The sequence below is a fragment of the Homo sapiens genome, chromosome 3 (assembly GCF_000001405.40).
Source record: "Homo sapiens chromosome 3, GRCh38.p14 Primary Assembly".
Lineage (NCBI taxonomy): Eukaryota > Metazoa > Chordata > Mammalia > Primates > Hominidae > Homo > Homo sapiens.
Window position 1 is genome coordinate 25,632,654 of NC_000003.12, and position 20,664 is coordinate 25,653,317.

The 20,664-nt window shown below is 34.4% G+C and overlaps 1 protein-coding gene across 5 annotated transcripts in view; it reads right to left on the reverse strand.

The window, feature by feature from the left end:
* The window catches only part of TOP2B (DNA topoisomerase II beta), a 67,003-nt gene that overhangs the window by 34,749 nt on the left and 11,590 nt on the right, over positions 1-20,664 (reverse strand). For 3 of the 5 annotated variants that reach the window (XM_011534057.4, NM_001330700.2, XM_047448822.1), the window contains exons 2-9: positions 12,647-12,817; positions 11,041-11,131; positions 9,669-9,732; positions 5,512-5,657; positions 4,562-4,659; positions 3,283-3,495; positions 1,188-1,361; positions 40-141 (exon numbers count right to left, since the gene is read on the reverse strand). In XM_011534057.4, coding sequence (XP_011532359.1) covers positions 40-141; positions 1,188-1,361; positions 3,283-3,495; positions 4,562-4,659; positions 5,512-5,657; positions 9,669-9,732; positions 11,041-11,131; positions 12,647-12,817 — 1,059 coding nt within the window. The remainder of the gene's footprint in view (positions 1-39; positions 142-1,187; positions 1,362-3,282; positions 3,496-4,561; positions 4,660-5,511; positions 5,658-9,668; positions 9,733-11,040; positions 11,132-12,646; positions 12,818-20,664) is intronic. The other 2 variants (XM_047448821.1, NM_001068.3) reach the window with 1 other exon arrangement.

Consider the following 20,664-nt stretch of genomic DNA (forward strand, 5'->3'; position numbering starts at 1 on the left):
TATGTATGCATCATGTACAATATATAACACATCCCTTACTTGAAATGGTTTCACTGATACACCAGCTTTGTTCTTTTTCTTAACTACTTCAATCAGTTTACCAACAACTTGATCTACCACATAATCCACGTGCCGTCCACCCTAAAGAAAAAAAAATATATGAAATCTGAAATCCTGTATTGTTAAAGTAGCAAAATACTTTATCTGTATTATAAACCCTATTTTCTAAAAGAGTAATAGAGTCTCAGAACGAGAGTTGAGATTTTAAAAAAATAAGACATTTTGGCTACAGAGCCAATAAACCAACCGCTGTGTTTTTTTTGTTTGTTTGTTTGTTTGCTTTCCTCACTTCAATTCTAACACCAATTCTCAGGTGCTTTCAACACCAGCAACCAATTCTCTGATTCTCCAGACACCAAATGGATGTTCAACAATGTAATTCAATTTTGATACTAACTACCTGGAGTTAGCACAAGTATTTAGGGTTGGTTAAGGGCTCAATCCCACAGGACTCCCCACACTTCAGATGCCAGTTACAAGTCCTAGGCCTCCTGTACTTCTAACGAACCTATGACCCACTCCTCAGGAATGATAATTTGCTGGAACAGGTCACAGAACTCAAGAACACACTTTACTTCATTTACAAGTTTTTTATATAGGATCCAGCAATAATAGCCAAATGGAAGAGATGCATAGGGCATAGTACAGGGGAAAGGGTACACAAAGCTCCATGCCTTACCCAGACATGCCACCCTCTTGGCACCTCAAATGTATTCACCAACCTAGGAGTTCTGTGAACTCCATTGTTCAGGAGTTTTTACAGAGCTTTATCACATAGCCATAATTGATTTTTAACTCAGTCACCAGCCCCCTCTCCTCTCCCCAGAGGTTGGGGAAGGTGGGGCTAAAAGTTACAGAAAAAGGAATTTGTTATTCTAAATTTCATAAAATATAAATATGTTCAACTACAAACACTAGTCATATAAATTTATTTCTCAATAATTGTTTAAATAAATTTTAATACAGCAATTTCATAGAAAATAGGTTTTTGTTTTCATAAGTCAATTCTTATTTAACAAAAACAGATTTGGGTTTTTTGGGGGTTGTGGATATTGTTATTTGTTTTGTAGTTTTTATTGAAGTACTGTTCTACCACTGACTTGGAAACAAATAATTTGCTTACTTACTTTTGTAGTTGCAATACTATTTACAAAGCTGATTTGCTGGAATCCTTTTTCACTCAATGTGAGACAAACATCCCATCTTTCATTTGCAAGCTCATGAATAACTTTCAGGGCCACCCCAGTTTCATCCAATTTGTCTTTCACATAAAGATCTACATAACTGCGAAATCCATTTACCTATTAATTTAAAAAACAAAAACAATTAAAAATCTTACACTGGCAGCTCAAATAGGTGAATCACCTTCAGTACGTATACTTTCATTTCCTCTCACTTACAACAGTTCTAAGTGCACCGATCCAAACCTTAGTGGCATTTCCCAGATCTATTCCTTAACCCTTGACCTTTAAAAAAGAAATTCATTTCTATGTGTACTTGACAAAAAGAGGATGTGAAGGGACAGGTAAATTGTTATAAAATATTTCAGAAATTTCTATTTTTAAAATGATAAGGTAGACTTCCAGTTTCAGTTCAGACAGATAATGAACTAGCAGGAAAAAAAGCTTCCATCCTTGTAAGAAAACGGGTGATCAGACAACAAATTAATGGGTTTTTCATGAACCCACTGAAGAACTGAGATCACAGGAGAGCTGGCCATCCTGAAGTCTGGAGAGACATAAGTGTCTGTAGGAGACCACAAAACCTAAGCTTTTGCTTACCTGGGGCAGATATTTAATAAGCTAGTAGGAACTTTAAACTAGAAATTTTGACTAATTGCTACTGGAAGAGTGTATACTAGTTTGAATGCATAAAGCTTCTAGGGACTATAGTCATAAGTTCATTCATTCATACTCTTGCAGGTTTTTCTTTCAGAAAACCCACCAAATTCTCACAGGGAAGACCAGTGAGAATCTAGAGGTTTCCCCTCTGCACTCCCATGGTGCTAGCTGGGAGACAGAAACAGTAGTCACTGGGAAATCAACCCAGATCTATCTCCCTTACCAAAAAAAAAAAAAAAAAAACCAAAAAAAGGCTTATTCTGCAGGGCAGGAAACCTCAAGGACACAGGCTGAGAACACTGGTGGAAACCTGCTGCAGCTGGGGAAAGAGAATAGAGGGCAGAAAAAAAGTCTTTACCTATGGAGGAGAGGCATAAACTTATAAAGGTCAAACCCCTGAGATACAGGTTCACCATGCACTCCAAAGACTGGGATGTAATGAGACATTAGAGAACATCTCCCCCAAAATCTACCATCATGCTACCAAGCTTCCATTAACAACAGTGGGTTTCAGCTGGAAGAGCTGCAAGAGACAGATCACCTCTGAGGGGCAGCTCAAAAAGAAGGGCCTAAGCCAAGGGGAAAGACAAAAACAAGAAAGAATCTGGAAGTCTCTGGTATTCACGGCAACAACAAACCTCAACACTAATAACTACAGCAAAAACAAACTTCAAACACAGCCCATCTCCTGGGTAAATATAACCTAAGTCCCACACTAATGCTTATTTACCTCGATATCTACAAAACAAATCTGGTTTTCCACAACTTACAGGGCATGCCAAAAGACAAGAAAAAAACAATCTGAAAAGATAAAGCGATTATCAGAAACAGAGTAAGTATCTCACAGATTTTGTAACATGTATCAGATAAAGTATTTTAAATAACTACAATTAATTAGTATGTTAAAGTATCTAATGGAAAATGTAGACAATATGCAACTTCAGCAAAGACATGTAAACTATAAGAAATAATCAAATGGAAATGTTAAAAACAAAAAACATAGAAGGCATGAGGAATGTCTTTGACAGGCTCTTCAGGAAACTTGATGCAGAGACTGCAAATGACTAAACTTGAAGAGAGGGGATAGAAATTAAACCAATACAAAAAGTGGAAGTAGAGTGAATAAAATAGACAAAGCATGCAAGAACTGCAGACAGTATCAAATAATGTAACATATATATAACCAAGAAGGAAAGGAAAGAACAAGACAGAAGCATTATTTGAAGAAATAATGGCCAAATGTATCAATAATCACTTTAAATGTGAATCATCTGAACACACCAGTAAAAGAGACTACCAGATGAGCTTTAAAAAAGGAAGACCCAACAATATTCTCTCTATAAAATAACATAGTATTAAAACTATTTTACAGGACACTTACAGGCAATTTCTTTCCATTAAACATGACCTTGACCCCTCTACACGAACCAGCCAAATCATATGCCCTTCTAGTCATGAGGGCCACAATATCCTTGTCAAGTTTTTCCATCTTAAATTTGGACAGATCTGGTTGGAATGTTATGCATGTGTAATCTTCACCATCAAAATGTTTAATTTTGGCTTCAGAAGTCTTCATCATATTATTCATCCATGTCTTTAAAAGAAAAAAATTCAAATATTTCTATAATGCTTCCATATCTCATAATATATAAAGACTACACTCATTAAATTCATTCATTTATCAAACTATATCAATTTTACAACTTCACAACAAACCAAACAAATCCTTGATAATATTACAGACAAAAAAAAATAGTAAATACAGTCAGCCCTTGGGTAGCCACAGGTTCTACATTTGCAGATTCGACCAACTGCAGCTTAAAAATATTTGGGAAAAAATACAAATTTTTAAAATACAGCATAACTGTTCACATGGCATTTATACTGTATTACATATTATAAGTAATCTAGAGTTGATTTAAAGTACATGGGAGGATGTGTATAGGTTATATGCAAATACTACCCCATTTTATATAAGGGACTTGATCCTCCTCTGATTTTTGGTATAGAAAGGGCATCCCAGAACCAATCCTCCTGAGGCAACTGTATTACTGTGATAATAATCTCATGTTAAAAATAAACTAAACTGTACAACTTTATAAACTGCCAACAAAATCTCTCAAATTCTTCAACGTGACTATATAGACTTTTACAAAAATAAACATGCATGATGCTTTTCCTGAGAAAATTATTTTAGCTTACTTCAACAACGGGGTTGCTGGAGAGCAATAAAGAAAATTTAAAATAAAAATTATTTTAGCTTATATAAAATTTCAAATCATTTTCATAGACCTTCAAGAATAAAATAAAATTTTGAAATATAAATTTGATGATTCATTGAGGAATTTTTCAAACACACTAAGTGGTTGCATGTACATGAGTCTGCGAGGTTCAGGACATTTTCACTAATACTTAACTAAGTTAAATAAAGTCTGTTAAATAAAGCACTTTGTTTGAAAGGAATGATAGAGGAATAGGCTTATATTAAATCTCCCAGGCATTCTGATGTCTCTTTACTCTGATGATTTGACTTGGATAATGCTTTGGAAAAAAAAAATGAAGTTATACAGGCATCACTGCAATTTACCCAAGGTTCTACTATCTCGGCAAGATAATAAAACGTTATTTTAAAAAAAGAAATAGATGTGTTTCTAGCATACCTGCTTAAAACTGTGTTTGTATTCTTTGCAAGCTGTTTCTACTGTAAACTTTGTACTGAAAATATTACAAAGTTTTGCACCATAACCATTACGACCACCTGTAAGAAAAATTAAATGTAAAAGGTTTAGTAAAAATGATTTTAAAGGAACTTCGTTAATTTACCACCATACGGCAAGGCTGTTGCAAAACTGTTCCACTAACTGCATTACCAATCACCAATTGAAGATTCCAGAGTATATTTAGATTTTCTTCCATTTAAAGAAAAATACAATTAAGATTTAGTATATATAGTAGTGTAATTAAAATGGGTATTTTGTACATTTACCACAGTCTTTACAATTTCAAAAGCATTAAGCTTTGTATCTTTCACGACCCAGCAAATCTCTGTGAGTATGAAATCTGAACTTTCTCTCAAACTTGCTTCTCTATTACAAAATTTTAATCTATATCATTTCCCGGAGCGTTGGTTTAAAAAGCAAAACAAAACAAAACAAAAAACCTATCAACCTATTTGGGCAACATAAATAAGTATGAAAATATATGGTTTTGGTCAAAGCACTTTCAACTCTATTTACAGAGTCTAGATTTTCAATCCTGACCTTCTCAAGGAAAACAGTTTAAAAGTAACTTAATACCAAAAGACACAGTGCTATGTAATAACAAATTTATATACATAGACATCATACCAGTCCTATCTAAATCAAAACTCAAACTGTCAGCCAAGTTAAACTTCCAGCAGTTCTAACATAAAGTCAATGTACTATCAGTCTTAAGGTTTTTAAATGTCACTGTTAAACTATTACCAAGACAATATTTATACATGATAGTTTATAAATATTAATTCTGACAATGATTTTCTCACACCAAAACTGCACAATTTCCTTAGTAAGTTATACATTTTATATTAAGAAAACAGTATTTTTCAACCAAAATTCCATTCAGACTTTACCTGTAACTTTTTTCTCATCATCATCATAGTTACTGGATGTTAAAAGCTGTCCAAAAATTAAAGCAGGAACATAAACTTTCTCTACCTTGTGTTCTACTACTGGAATGCCTTTCCCATTATTCCAAATGCTTATAATGTTAGATTCACTGTAAAAAAAAAAAAAAAAAAAAAAAAAAAAAAAAAAAAAAGCAGAATTTAGAGCTTAAAATAGTAAAGATAAATTAATTCATTAAAAAGTAATCTAGAATAAACCTTAATGGTTATAAGATACTAGTCATTATCAATTGGAAGGCACTGATTCATCTCTCAAGAAAATACTCGCTGAGGACAAACATTTCTTTCCCTGAGTCGTAACTAATAGAGAAGGATTATGAAGGAAATGAAGGCAAGGAATGGAAAATTACAGATCTTAAACATCTCAGGATGACAAAAAAGGCAACATACTCATGAGAAAACCTTTAAAAAAGGTTTCATCATGTTTAGCACATGGTACTGTAATTAAAATAGGCATTCTGTAAGTTAATTATCTTCATCACAATTTCAAAAAAAAAAATCAACGTTTGGCATCCTTAACATTCTCTAAGTCCATATGAGTATGAAATTGGAACTGGCTATCAAACTCACCTCTCTTATAAAATTTCAATCTGTATCATTTCTCAGATCTGGTATTTATTTCTGTAATCTCTAAACAATTATTCAGAATTTTATAACTTTGCTCCACTGATAATCTTCAATAAAAATTAGGAATAAGAATACTGCATTTAATAGTTTACAAATAAAGTTTCAAAAATAATTAGGCTGAAAAAAATTGAAAATCTAAATATCCAATGCTTATCAGTTGGCAAGAGGTTAAATAAATTGTGACACATCAACATAATAAAATACTTGCGAGTAGTTTTAAAAAATTAAGTGGATCTATGTAAGTTAATAAGGAAGGCTGTCTATAATATGTTGAATAAAGGGAAAGACATAAAATAGTATATATACTATGATTCCGTTTGTTAAAAAAAGAAATGTCTACATATATAATTTAGCATGAGTATGCAATATTTTTTGAAAGCTACAGTTTTAAAATTTCAACTCTAAATAAAGAACACTTAAGCTAGAGGAATATTTTCAACTCTGGTTAATATGCTTTCCACGTTTGTTTTTGTTTTTGTTTGAGATAGAGTCTCGCTCTGTCATCCAGGCTGGAGTGCAATGACACGATCTCAGCTCACTCAACCTCTGCCTCCTGGGTTCCAGCAATTCTCCTGCCTCAGCCTCCCAAGTAGCTGGGATTACAGAAGCACGCCACCACGACTGGCTAATTTTTGTATTTTTAGGAGACACGGGGTTTCACCATGTTGGCCAGGCTGGTCTCGAACTCCTGACCTCATAATCCACCCGCCTTGGCCTCCCAAAGTGCTGGGATTACAGGCGTGAGCCACCGCGCCCAGCCTCCACATTTGTTTTTAATCAGATAGACATCCACAAATAAATTGTTTCAATACTGTTATGTTGTATTATTTAATAAGTGTTAAGCTCCCTTGTAAGAAGTTGCTCTAAGTTCTCTAACTTCTGGAAGAACTGTCCAAATTCTGCATGGCATCCCTTGTATTTAATCTGTTCTCAAGGCTTTACAACCATGACCTTTTCCTTAAATTTTATCCCTACATCACAGAATACTATGGAGGAAAAGAAAGAATAAGAGCTAGGTTGTACTATATATCCTATATACTTTGTCCATTAGCTATTAAAATTTAACCTCTCCTCCACACAAGAAGTTTATGTGCACAAATGTACAAAAATAAAAATCTGCTATACAAAAATGTTAAAAAGAATGCAACTCAAAGGATACAAAAATGGACAGCAGAGAAAACTGGATCAACTGGATCAACAGTGCAACAGCTCTTTTTCTCATTTAAATTTAGCTTTAAAATGACTTCTTAAATTAGAAATCTTACTGAAGCAAAAATTGCACCTCTGAAATAACATTTATTTTAATCAAAATAATACTAATTCTATAGTATATGTGGTAAAAAATGACTATGGGACAAAATTCACAAGAGACAAAATGTTATAGTTAAAACTCAGAAATACAATATACAAATCAGCAACTTCTCACAAAATGCTTGCCTACTGCCAATTTTAGGAGTATATGAAATTCAATTAAAGGCAAGATCAAGACTCAATTTTTTCATCAATGATTTGTAAACAACAAAAGAAACAAGAAAGGAGGGGTGAAAAAATATACTACCATCACCTTTTCTTCTTGGAATAGCTAAGGATTTTTGTTTATATTGAAATAAAATAATTTTCTAGCAGAAGCAGTTAAAATGAGGTGGGGGATATGAAAAAAAAATTGATACCTCATTGACATTAAGAAGCAAATAAACTTAGTTATAATTTTCCCTCCCTCTTCTGCCTACACAAAAATGTTTGCTGATTAAAAACAGAGTATAAAATGAAGTGATAAAGGCACTAGAATTACTAGAATTATGTTGAATTACTCTTTCTACAAAATCTGTAATGAACTGATAAGTAAAATAAACCAAGAGCCCTTATCCAGTCTACAGAGTTGTCTTATAGCTCACTTCTTCGTTGTCTTTTTTTTTTTTTTTTTTTTTTTGAGATGGGGTCTCGCTCTGTCGCCCAGGCTAGAGTACAGTGGCACAATCATGGCTCACTGCAGCCTGACCTCCCAGGCTCAAGCAATCCTCCCGCCTCAGCCTCCTGAGTAGCTGGGACTACAAGCACATGCCGCCACCATGCCCAGATAATTTTGGTGTTTTTGTTTGTTTGTTTGTTTGTTTTTTGTAGAGACAGGTTTTCACCATGTTGCCCAGACTGGTCTCGAGCTCCTGGGCTCAAGGGATCTGCCTGACTCAGCCTCCCAAAGTGCCAGGAATACAGGCGTGAGCTGCCGCACCTGGCTTAGCTCACTTCTTTATCACTTTGTTATGATGGCATGCTATACACTATTTCTTAAATTCAATCTTATTGCATTAATGTGGCTAAAATCTTTGGACTAATATGGCCAGAACCACATAAAAGAACTAAACAATTGCAACTATGTTCATCAAGAGTGTATTTAAGGAAGGTCCTTTCTTTCTTAGTTTTAATTAGAGTTGTTCAATTTTGAAAAAAATTCAAAGATATCAAACATTCAGTGTCTATTACTCCTTACTCTCCTAAAACATAATAAATGAAGGGAGATATGGTTTTTAACTGACAATTGCCTAAATAAGGAAAAGGAATCTTAACAGCCAAAATGTCCTTGAAACCATCTTAAACTTCTGTATAAGTTGTAACTTATGTCTTGTATGCCTTATATAACTTCTCAAGAATGCATTCATTATAGAAATAATCCAAATTTAAAAAAAAATGGAGAAAAAAATAAATAATCTCGACAGCACAGTTATATGGTAACATTTTCATATAAAATATAGTTAACTTCATGGTATAACCAAATACAAATTATAGTTTTATTATACTACTAATCTTAACTGAAATTAGATTATTACTAGTAAGACTATACCTGAATTATTAGATTTTTATGTTTACTAGAGAAAAATCTTAAAATCATGCTAAATTACTAATGAAATTACAAAGGATGAATGTAATATTTTACAAAAGGCATGCTGGTAAAAACAGGATAAATTTAACAGCTATGTTTCTGATTTAATGCTACTATTTTTTATACATCTTCATTCTATGCAAAAAAATAATAAAAATCACCACAGTAATATAATTAGCTAAACAACTGGTTACAACAACAGTACCTAATCTATTAAATTATGTCATAAATAATGGAAAACTCCAAACACCAGTCATGAAAAGTAAACTTAAAGTATAATATAACTGGAATCACACTAACAATAGCCCTTAGCCTTGAGTCCCAAAAGTAAGGGTAAGAAAAGATAGGGTGATTACCCTAGCAGCTGAAATAGCATACACAGCATCAAAGAAAAATGGTCTCCAAGAGCCCCGATAGGGAAGTTCTTTGGAAGAAAAGACAATAAATGACACAGAAAAGAGGCAAAAATAACAAAGTCTCAAACAACAGGGAAACTTTAAAAGAGTACTACCCATATACATTATTTGAGGAGTACTCATAAATTGGGGACTATCTGAATAAAACTTAGCATAAAAAATTAAACTTTAAATATACTTACGGATCAATAGAAACTTTAATACAAGTCATGTTCTTATCCCTCTGTTTATTGTCAGCAGCATTAACTACAAAATTAAACACCTCAATGAGTAATATACAAAATTATATAAATAAATACATGGACACAACTGTATGTGCATCACTGCTTAATATAAACATCTACATATGGTAATAGTTAATGAAAATAATTACTATTAACTTCTCATATAAAATCTTATTTTCCAAATAATATTCCTAAATTGTATTATCACACCAAATTACTGTTATGTTTTCCACCACAAAAAAAGAGGAGGAAATGTTTTAGTGATACATATTAATCAAAACATATTAAGTAAGAACAAACACCTGCATTTTACAACACCCAAATCCAGGTCTAAAAGTAAAAACTTTTGTTTAATTATATTTTCTCTTGGTAACAAGCAATTGCATTCTATTGATCACTTTCAATAAACTAGTGACTTTATAGGCATATTGAATAGAAACCAGTTCATTTTCAGTTACAAACAAAGAAAAAGTCTTTAACACCCTTAGAAATCAAAATTCTGTATCCTAGGCACTATAGCTGACAATATAAATATTTTTGCATTCATTAACCACTGCTTCAAGGAAATTTGAACACAATCATAGAAGAAATATGCTCCTGACAAACACTTGCAATAAACTTAAAACAGTAAAATTATAATATGGAGGCAAGAGTAAAGGTATAAAATGCAACACAGTTTTAATCTCTTATCTCTTCACCAAATACCAACAGAAGAAGTTCTGAGACCCATACAACTGCACTAAGAAACCTCAAGTTGCACTGATGAGGTGGGAGAGCAAGAGAATTTCTAGAGTGTCCTTGGTTAAAATATTTCCAAAGTACAAGCATTCCCTAGCAGTCAACTAGGCATTCACATAATTTAATTAATCATGTGATTTGGAGAGGACAGAGATCATTTACAGCAATGGTTATTACACTTGGCTGCCCAACAGAAATATCTGATTTGTTGGTGAAAAACATATTTACATATCCCACCAACTCAACGAATCTGCAAAATCAGTCCCTGTCATCTCCATATTCAAGATGACTCCAGGTAACTGTGATGCTAGCATATCCCAGATGACTACACATAGAGGAGTACAGACCAACTATGGGATTACAAATATAACACATTGATTTCATAGATGAAGAAAATGAAACAAAGATGAAACAGAGATATGAAAACATTACAGATCATGGTATAAATTTTCTGAAGATCATTTATATTCAGAAGGATAAAAGCCAGAGATACACCTTTCAAATTTATACTGGTTAAGTCTGGCTTTATATATAAAAGGACACTATGATGATATTAATAGAAACATGCATTAAATCCTAAGCAAGTACTCACCCAAAATTTCATCAAAGATCTTGTATAAACCTGGCACAAAGGTAACCTCCCTGCAATTCATTCCTACATCTTCATCATACACCCACATGAACTGCATTGAAAAATTCAAAAAAAATTTTACTCAATAAATCCTTAATATCAATTTTTCATAGTATAATCCACATCCTGTCATTTACACTATATGAATACTTAGATCTGCAAAGTAGAAAAACATATACAACTTCAGTAATAGTCAACTTCACTATTCATATTAAATTAACCTCAAAATTGAGAAATTGTTCATTTTGTATCAAGTTTGTATTATTATAAAGTCAGTTTTAATGTAAGACATCAATAATTATTAGAAACAGTATTAAATAGTTGAAAAAATAAAAACATTACTTTTCATAAATAATGGAAAATTAATGCTTTTTTTTTTTTTTATAATACAGGGAGCAGAGTAAAATAATACGAACAAAGCAAGACTTTGGAGTCAGAGAGATCTACTTTGAATCCCAGTTCTTACTAGTTGAGAGATATGAACAAGTTACTTAAATTTATGTAAGCTTCCCTTTCTTCATCTATAGAGATAACAGTACCTACTTCCCAAAATGGTTAGGATCAAATGAGATAATATATGTAAGCCAAGTTCCTAGTAAGCAGTAAACAATAGTCAGTGTATATGTACAAATTCTGCAAGGTACTACCATTAACATTAATGACAATATGAACTTAAAGACTTACAAGCCTGGGCGCAGTGGCTCACGCCTGTAATCCTAGCACTCTGGGGGGCCAAGGTGGATGGATCACCTGAGGTCAGGAGTTCAAGACCAGCCTGGCCAACATGGCAAAACACTGTCTCTACTAACAACACAAAAATTAGCCAGGCGTGGTGGCGCATGCCTGTAATCCCAGCTACTTGGAAGGCTGAGGCAGGAGAATCGTTTGAACCCAGGAGGCAGAGGTTGCACCGAGCCAAGATCACACTACTACACTCCAGCCTGGGCGACAGAGCGAGACACGGGGTGGGGGGGCATCAGGGGGTGATGGGAGATGGCGGGTGGGGAAGACTTACATAAAAAGTTCGTATGGCACCATTTTACTCTATACTTCATTTTTCTGATTTTTGTTTTTTGTTTTGAGATGGAGTCTCGCCCTGTCGCCCAGGCTGGAGTGCAGTGGCGTGATCTCGGCTCACTGCAAGCTCCGCCTCCCAGGTTCACTGTCATTCTCCTGTCTCAGGCTCCTGAGTAGCTGGGACTACAGGCGCCCGCCACCACACCCAGAAAATTTTTTTTTTTGTATTTTTTTGTATTTTTATTAGAGACAGAGTTTCACCATGTTAGCCAGGATGGTTTCGATCTCCTGACCTTGTGATCCACCCGCCTCGGCCTCCCAAAGTGCTGGGATTACAGGTGTGAGCCACTGCGCTCAGCCTCTTCTGACGGTTTTTAATCCCCAAAAAGAAGTAAATACATTTCTACTTCTAGATCTTTCACCCTACTTTGACTATGACAGATGAAATTACAAATTTCCAAAGCAAGTAATTACAATAATTTTATCAACATATTAAAAAGTAAATATAGATGCACATCTCCTAATTTCAATCAATTTTAGCAATAATTACCTGCGTCAATGGCTCCACTGACCCAATATATGTATCAGGACGAAGAAGAATGTGTTCAAGTTGTGTCTTCTTCTGATACACTCTCTCAACAGACAACTTCTTTGAAGAATCATTTTTGTTGGCAGTTTCTGACTCTTCTTTTTTTGCAGCATTGTTCTGATCAAAAAGAGTCTAAAATTAACCAAAAAATCAAATTTAAATAACCTACCAAGGGGTAGACAATGAGTATGGACACACGACATGGGTTTTCTTTTTTAATGGCAAAATTATCTTTCAGACTGATTTTTTAAATCTAAAGAAAACACAGGTCTATTTACTGACCGTCTGGCTCTTATTATACAACATGAACCTGTAGTTTTGACTGAGCCCAAAACGTGGGTATAGTCACCAGAATCACTAGAGCAGTCTCCAGCAATCCAAAAATACAAACATTTCCCAATTCTGTAAGATATCAAGTTTGTTTGTTTGTTTTGTTTTTGAGACAGAGTCTTGCTCTGTCACCCAGGCTAGAGTGCAATGGTGTGATCTTGGCTCACTGCAGCCTCCACCTCCCAGTTTCAAGTGATTCTCCTGCCTCAGCCTCCTGAGTAGCTGGGACTACAGGTGCGCACCACTATGCCCAGGTAATTTTTTTTTTTTTTTTGTATTTTTAGTAGAGACAAGGTTTCACCATGTTGGCCAGGCTGGTCTCGAACTTCTGACCTCAGGTGATCAGCCTGCCTTGGCCTCCCAAAGTGCTAGCATTACAGGTGTGAGCCACCACACCTGGACTCAAGTTAATTTTTGTGGTCCTCAAAACCTCCCAAGAAATTTGAGTTCTGGTGAAGTTACAGAATCACAATGACTGAACCTGGCTAGGTGCAGGAGCCCCAAAAGCTTCCAGATGTAAGCTTCCCACCATTAAGCTACTGAAGACTACAGTATAAACAAAAATGACCTACACAAAATATTAACCTATGTAGTTAATAAACACTGATATGACTGAAATGGCTTATAAAATCCTCAAATTTCACACATTTGTAGATCATGCCAATAATTCCTCACATATCAGCTCTGGGTGTCCCAATACTGATCCCAGTTTCTCTACCAGTTTCAAGGAGGCACAGGTTGGTGATCTTAATTCTAAACATTCCTACAGCAGATGAGGATGTCAAATCAAATTTCCAAGGTCTACAAATTTCCTTGTCTTCTTAAGAGCAGCAGAGAATATACTTCTCTCCTTCTGGGATTCCTTAATGCTGACAAATATGACATCCCACTAAAAAGATATTGTGATGGCCTATCTTTTCAGAATCAAAAAATAACTCAAAAGACACAATGAGAATTAAAATATCTTCAGAGGCCTTCAAATTTTAGTAGAAATTAAAGAAACAGAATACAGATAATAGGAGATACAGAGATTTTGTGCATTTAAACAAGCAGTATGCAATTTCAATTCCGCTTTAAAGTTTTTATTTTTAAAAACTGTATCATTAAGTATGTTTAAAAATCAAAATACATGACCTCTGAAAAGTCTAAACGAAGATAAGAATTTAATATATCCTCAGGAAACTCAAACGTTAATTATAATTTCACAATGCAGTAAGTTTTATATACAATTAAAGATTTAATAATATTTCAAAATAAAAGTATTAAAAATAACTCATTTTACTAGATTTTAAACTATATTCTTATACATTCCTACATTTATAAGTTTTTCCATTAACACTGCTCAAAGACAATTAAAAGTAGCTTTGGATAAAAGAAAATAATTCTGTTTCACAAAGTTTTCACATTCACATTCCACTTCTGCAAAAGTTAGACGATGAACTAGCCGGCCAGAAAGATGAACTTTATTTTTAAAATACCAGATAGTCTTCAAATTTCTAATCGTATTCTTTGCTTTTTATGAAGAAATAGTTGATTGATAAAAACAAATTTACATTTAAGGGCCAGGCGCAGTGACGTTAATTTATAGAAACGATTCTAACAATAAAATCATAATTTATTTTTTAATGAAGCCTCAAAATAGTTAGAACAAAGATCATAATCATTAAAATCACACTCTAAGAAAGTACTCAAAGAAGATAGATGCTATGGAATCGAAAGTAGGTAACATTTTACCATTAACTTAGAACTGCTATTCTAAGTCTGCAATTATTGACATAAAGGTTGAAGACACATGATAACCATACAAATAAAAGCTTTCGTATTCCAGGCTACTCTTCTAAAACCAACCCCATCACAAAGAAAATATTTTCAAGATTAGACTCAACCAGAGGCTCATGTCTATCTAATTTGTATGAACTAAACTGAACTAAAGGGCACACAGGGATAAAAAAAAAAAAACAGGAGTAAAACCTTACCTCATGCTTTCTTCAAGAATTTACAACTTTTTCCACACTTCCTTACTTATAATCACCACCTCTTCCTCCCTGCACCTCTTCCCAAATGGATATATTACAAAAAAAAGTTTGAAAGCTTGAACCCACCAAATTCCTATCAAGTTCAAAGACTTACCATTCTTGCTAAGATAATGTCTAAAAAAAACAGGTAACATTTGAGTGTGGTCAGCCAGATGGCAAAACAAGAAACCCCAGGCCTTTCTTTCCCCATGAAGACAAGGATTCAACAATAACAAACAATCCAACTGCCTTTGTGATAAGTTCCAGCACCCCAGGTGAGCATAAAATAGCATCAAAGCTCATGTCCTCCCTCCTATCTGCCCCAGCAAGGCAAGATTGAGAAAAACAAACAAGACAACAACAACTTCCACCTTCTCCCTGGGGAGGAGCAGAAAAGGAATATACCTCCAATGGAACAGCTGAGGGCAGTGCTACCCTAGAAACTTCTTGACTGAATCTAAGTACTGACATTGAACAGGGTGCCAGGTTGAGGGCCATTGAAAACAAAAGCAAAGTGCTTTGGTTTAGCATCAGACCCTGCAGTATCAGAAACAGACACAAGGTGGAGCTCCAGTACTGTAGTTTACTACAGCACGAGACGCCACAAGTAAAGCAGACAAAGACACACCAGAGGGAGCAGACAGATGGACAGAGGCAAACCTCTTCAATTAAGAAATTACAAACCCAAAGAGGATGCATCCCCATAAAAGATTTGTGAGGTCTCAGGATTCTCTAGCTAGACTAACTGGATGAAGAAAGTCTTCCCAGTATGAAACCAGACCGCAAAGACCAGAGAGTTAGCTAAGCCTTCAAATGCCAAAGCCCTAACAGAAAATAACAATACAAAGAAACAGGGAAATACAGCCGATTCAATGTAAAAAACTAAATTGCAGCCAGGCGCAGTGGCTCACACCTGTAATCCCAGCACTTTGGGAGGCTGAGGCAGGCAGATCCCTTGAGCCCAGAGCTCAAAACCAGTCTGTGCAACATGGCCAAATCTTATCTCTAGCAAAACAAAACAAAAAAAAATTAGCCAGGTGTGGTAGTGCACACTTGTAGTCCCAGCTACTTGGGAGGCTGAGACGGGAGGATTGCCTGAGCCCAGAAGGTCGAGGCTGCAGTGAGCCATCTGCACACAACTGTACTCCAGCCTGGGTGACAGAGCAAGAGCCTGTCTCAAAAAAATAATAAATAAATCACCACAAATTGAGCCTAAAGAAATGGAAATATATTGTCATACAAAGAATTCAAATTAACTGCCATAAGGATGCTTAATGAAATAAATGAGTACAGATGAACAAACAAAAACTCGGTGTAACAATGCATAAACAAAAGGAAAAAATCAACAAAGATAAAAACTATGATGAAGTAGCAAACATTATTTCTGGAACTGAAGCATACAGTAAATGAATTGAAAATACACTAGAGGGATGTAACAGTAGACTTGAGCAGGCAGAATTTTTTTAAATCAGCAAATTTGAAGACAGGACTTTCAAAATTGCCAAGGGAAAGGAGCAAAAAGGCAAAGGAATGAATAAACATAAAAAGAGCTTAAAGAACTTATGGGCCACTATCTATCAGAACAACATATACATTATGTAAGCCTCAAAGGAGAAGAAAGGGAGAAATGGAGAAAGAGCCTATTTGAAGAAATAATAGCTGAAAACTTTCCAAATCTGAGGACATAAATGCATATACAAATTAAAGAAGCTCAAAGAACTCCAAGGATAAATCTAAAGAAAACTACACCAAGACACATCATAATTATACTGTCAAAAGTCATAGACAAAGAGAGAATCTTAAAAGCAGCAACAGAAAAGTGAATCATCAATTACAAAGGAGCTTCTGTTAGATTACTAGCCAATTTCTCAGCAGAAACCTTGCAAGATAGAAGGGATTGGAAGAATATATCTGAAGTACTGAAAGAAAAAAAAAAAAAACACTGCCAACCAAGAACATTGTATCCAGCAAAAGTGCCCTTCAAAAATGAAGTAGAAATTAATACTTTCTTAGATAAACAAACACTGGGACAGTTCATCACCACTAGGTTTGCCCAACAAGAAATGATAAAGGGAGTCCCTTAAAGCAAAAGGATAAAAAATAGCAACACAGTAACACAAAAATACATAACTCCCTGGTAAAGTCCAAGGAGACTCCAAAAAGTTCTTGGAAAAATGGAATCAAAAGATAAAAATAAAAAATATAAATTTTATTTCTCAACAAAAGCTCCATAAAGGTCAAGACACTTTTATAAGTGATGATATCAGCCATTTAGCTCAACTCTGAAGAACCAAGGGTCTTGGGAATTTAACCATGCCAATGCAGTCTTTTTACATTATCAACTGAAAAAATTAGGTGCCTTTTAAAGATTTAAGATTAGTAAACAAAAAAAGTCAGAAGGAGCAAAATCAGGATTATAAGATGGATGCCTAATTATTTATCATCAAAACTCTCATAAAATTGCTCTTGTTTGATGAAAGGAATGAGCAGGAGTACTGTCATGATGGAGAAAGACTCTGGTGAAGCTTTCCTGGGGATTTTTCTGCTAAAACTTTACCTAACTTTCTCAAAACACTCTTATAATAAGCAGATGTTATCGTTCTTTGGCCCTTCATAAAGTCAACAAGCAAAATGCCTTGAGCATCCTAAAAAACTGTTGCCAAGACCTTTGCTCTTGACCTGTCTGCTTTCGCTTTGATTGGACCACTTCCACCTCTTAGTAGCCATTGCTTTGATTGTGCTTTGTCTTCAGGATTATGCTGGTAAAGCCCTGTTTCATTTCCTGCTACAATTATTTGAAGAAATGTGTCAGTATCTTGATCCCATTTGTTTAAAATTTCCATTAAAAGCTTTGCTCTTGTCTGCAGCTGATCTAGGCACAATGGTTTTGGCACTCATTGAATGGAAAGTCTGTGAATCTTTAATTTTTCATATAGAATTGTGGAAGCTGAACCGACTGAGACATCTATGGTGTTAGCTATTGTTTCTGCTATTAATCATTGGTCCTCTTAAATAAGGGCATGAACATGATTAATCTTTTCCTGACAAATTGATGTAATGGTCTGCTGCTGCAGGCTTCATCTTTAACATCATCTCATCTCTTCTTAAAAGAAGTTATCCATTTGTAAACTGCTCATTTATTTGAGGCATTGGCCCTGTAAACATATTGTAAATCAATGATTTCACCATTCTTTCACCTAAGCTTCTTCATAAACTTGATGTTTGTTCTTGCTTCAATTTTAGCATAATTCATATTGCTCTGACAGGGGCTCTTTTCCAAATGATGTCTTATCCTTCTTAGTACCGCAAACTAGATTTTGTTCAGACACGTTATAACAAGTTAGTACAAGTTTATTTTGATACCAAAAAATTTTGAAATCCATGCATAGTTTTCTCATAATACACATTTTCCATGAACTTTTTGAAGACTATTTGTATACAGACAAATATGGCATCTTCTAGTATTGTAATACAGTAATACAGATCACTTAAATATAGTATAGAATTTTTTAAAGCATAAAAAATAATTCTAAATCTGTGTTAAAATATACACAATATAAAAAGAGGTAAAGTATCATCAAAAACAAAGCAGGGGAGGGCAGAGGTGAAAAAAGGAAGAGTTTTCATATGGCATTGAAGTTACTAATTTAAAATTTATTTTTATCACCTGAAGATATGTTATGTAATGGCAAGGTAAAGTCAAGGAAAATATCTGTAGAATATACACAAAGAGAAATTAGAAGAAAATCAAAACATGTCACTAAAAAAAAAAAAAATCAATGAAACACAAAAGAAGGCAGCAAGGGAAGAAAGATGGACAAAAAAGCTATAAGACATATAAAAAAATAATCAAAATGGCAATAGTGAGTCCATGTCAATAATTACTTTAAATATAAATTGGGCCAGGAGCGGTGGCTCACATCTGTAATTCCAGCACTTTGGGAGACCAAGGTGGGCAGATCACTTGAGGTCAGGAGTTAAGAGACCAGCATGGCCAATATGGTAAAACGCCATCTCTACTAAAAATACAAAAATTAGCCAGGCATGGTGGCAGCCACCTGTAATCCCAGCTACTCGGGAGGCTGAGGCAGAAGAATCACTTGAACCTGAGGCAGAGGTTGCAGTGAGCCAAGATTGTGCCACTGTACTTCAGCCTGGACAACAGAGGGAGATTGTGTCTCAAAAAAAAAAAAAAAGATTAAGTGCCCAAATAAAAGACATAGATTGGCCAATGGAATAAAAAAATAAGATCCAACTACAGGTTGTTTACAAGACATCTGCTTCAGATCCAAAGATGCACAAAGGCTACAAATAAAAGGATGGAAAAAGATATTCCAGAAAACTGGAATCTGAAGAGAGTGGCCGTACTTACATCAGACAACATAGAGTTTAAGATAAAAACTGTCACAAGAGACAGAGTAGGACATTATATGATAAAAGGGTCAATTCACCAGTAAGATATGCATCTAACATTACAGTTCCCAAATTTATGAGCAAACACTGACAGAAGTGAAGGGAGAGAGAGACCAACACAATAATAGTAGGAGACTTCACTAGCCCACTTTCAGTTATGGATAGAACAACCACACAGAAGATCAATAAAGACACAAAGAACTTGAACAACACTATAGACCAATTGGACCTAACAGACATACTCAGAACACTCCAATCAACAACAGGAGAATACACATTCTTTTCAATTGCACTTGGAACATTCTCCAACAAAGACCACATGTTACGTGACAAAACAAGTCTTAACAAACTTAAGAAGACTATAATCATATAAGGTATATTTTCCATCAAAAATGGAATTAAACTAGAAATCAATAGTAGAAGGAAAACAGTAAAATCCACAAATAAGTGGAAGTTAAACAACTCACTCTCATATAACCAATGGGTGAGAGATGAAATCACAAGCGAATTTAGAAAATATCAGGAGACAAATGAAAACCAAAACACAATAGAGCAATATTTATGTAATGCAGCTAAAACAGTATTACACCTAACATTAACAATCAGTAAAGATCTCGAATTAACAACCTAACTTTAGACCCTTTCAAAGAACTAGGAAAAGAGAAACTAAACCAAATTAATGAAGGGAAATAAAGATTAAAACAAAGATAAATAAAATAGAGAATAGAAAAACAATGAGGAAAAAAAATCAATGAAACCAAGAGTTTGTTTTTTGAAAAAATTAACAAAACTGACAAATCGTTAGCTAGATTACATAAGAAAAAAAAGAGATAATCAAATAACTAAAATTAGAAACGAAAGGGGACATTATAATTGATGTCACAGAAATAAAGATTATAAAAGACTTACATGACCACACATATGGCAACAGATTAGATAACCTAGAAGAAATGAATACATTCCAAACATATAATCTACCAAGACTGAATCATGAATAAAAAATCTCAACAGCCCTATAACAAATAAGAAGATGAAACAGTAATCAAAAACTTCCCAACAAAGAAAAGCCCAGTACCAGATGGCTTCACTTGAAAATTCTACCAAATAATCAAAGAAGAATTAACTCTTCAAACTCTTACCAAAAAATGAGGGGCAGGGAACACTTCCAGAATCATTCTATGAAGCCAGCATTTCTCTGATACAAAAACTAGAAGACAGAAC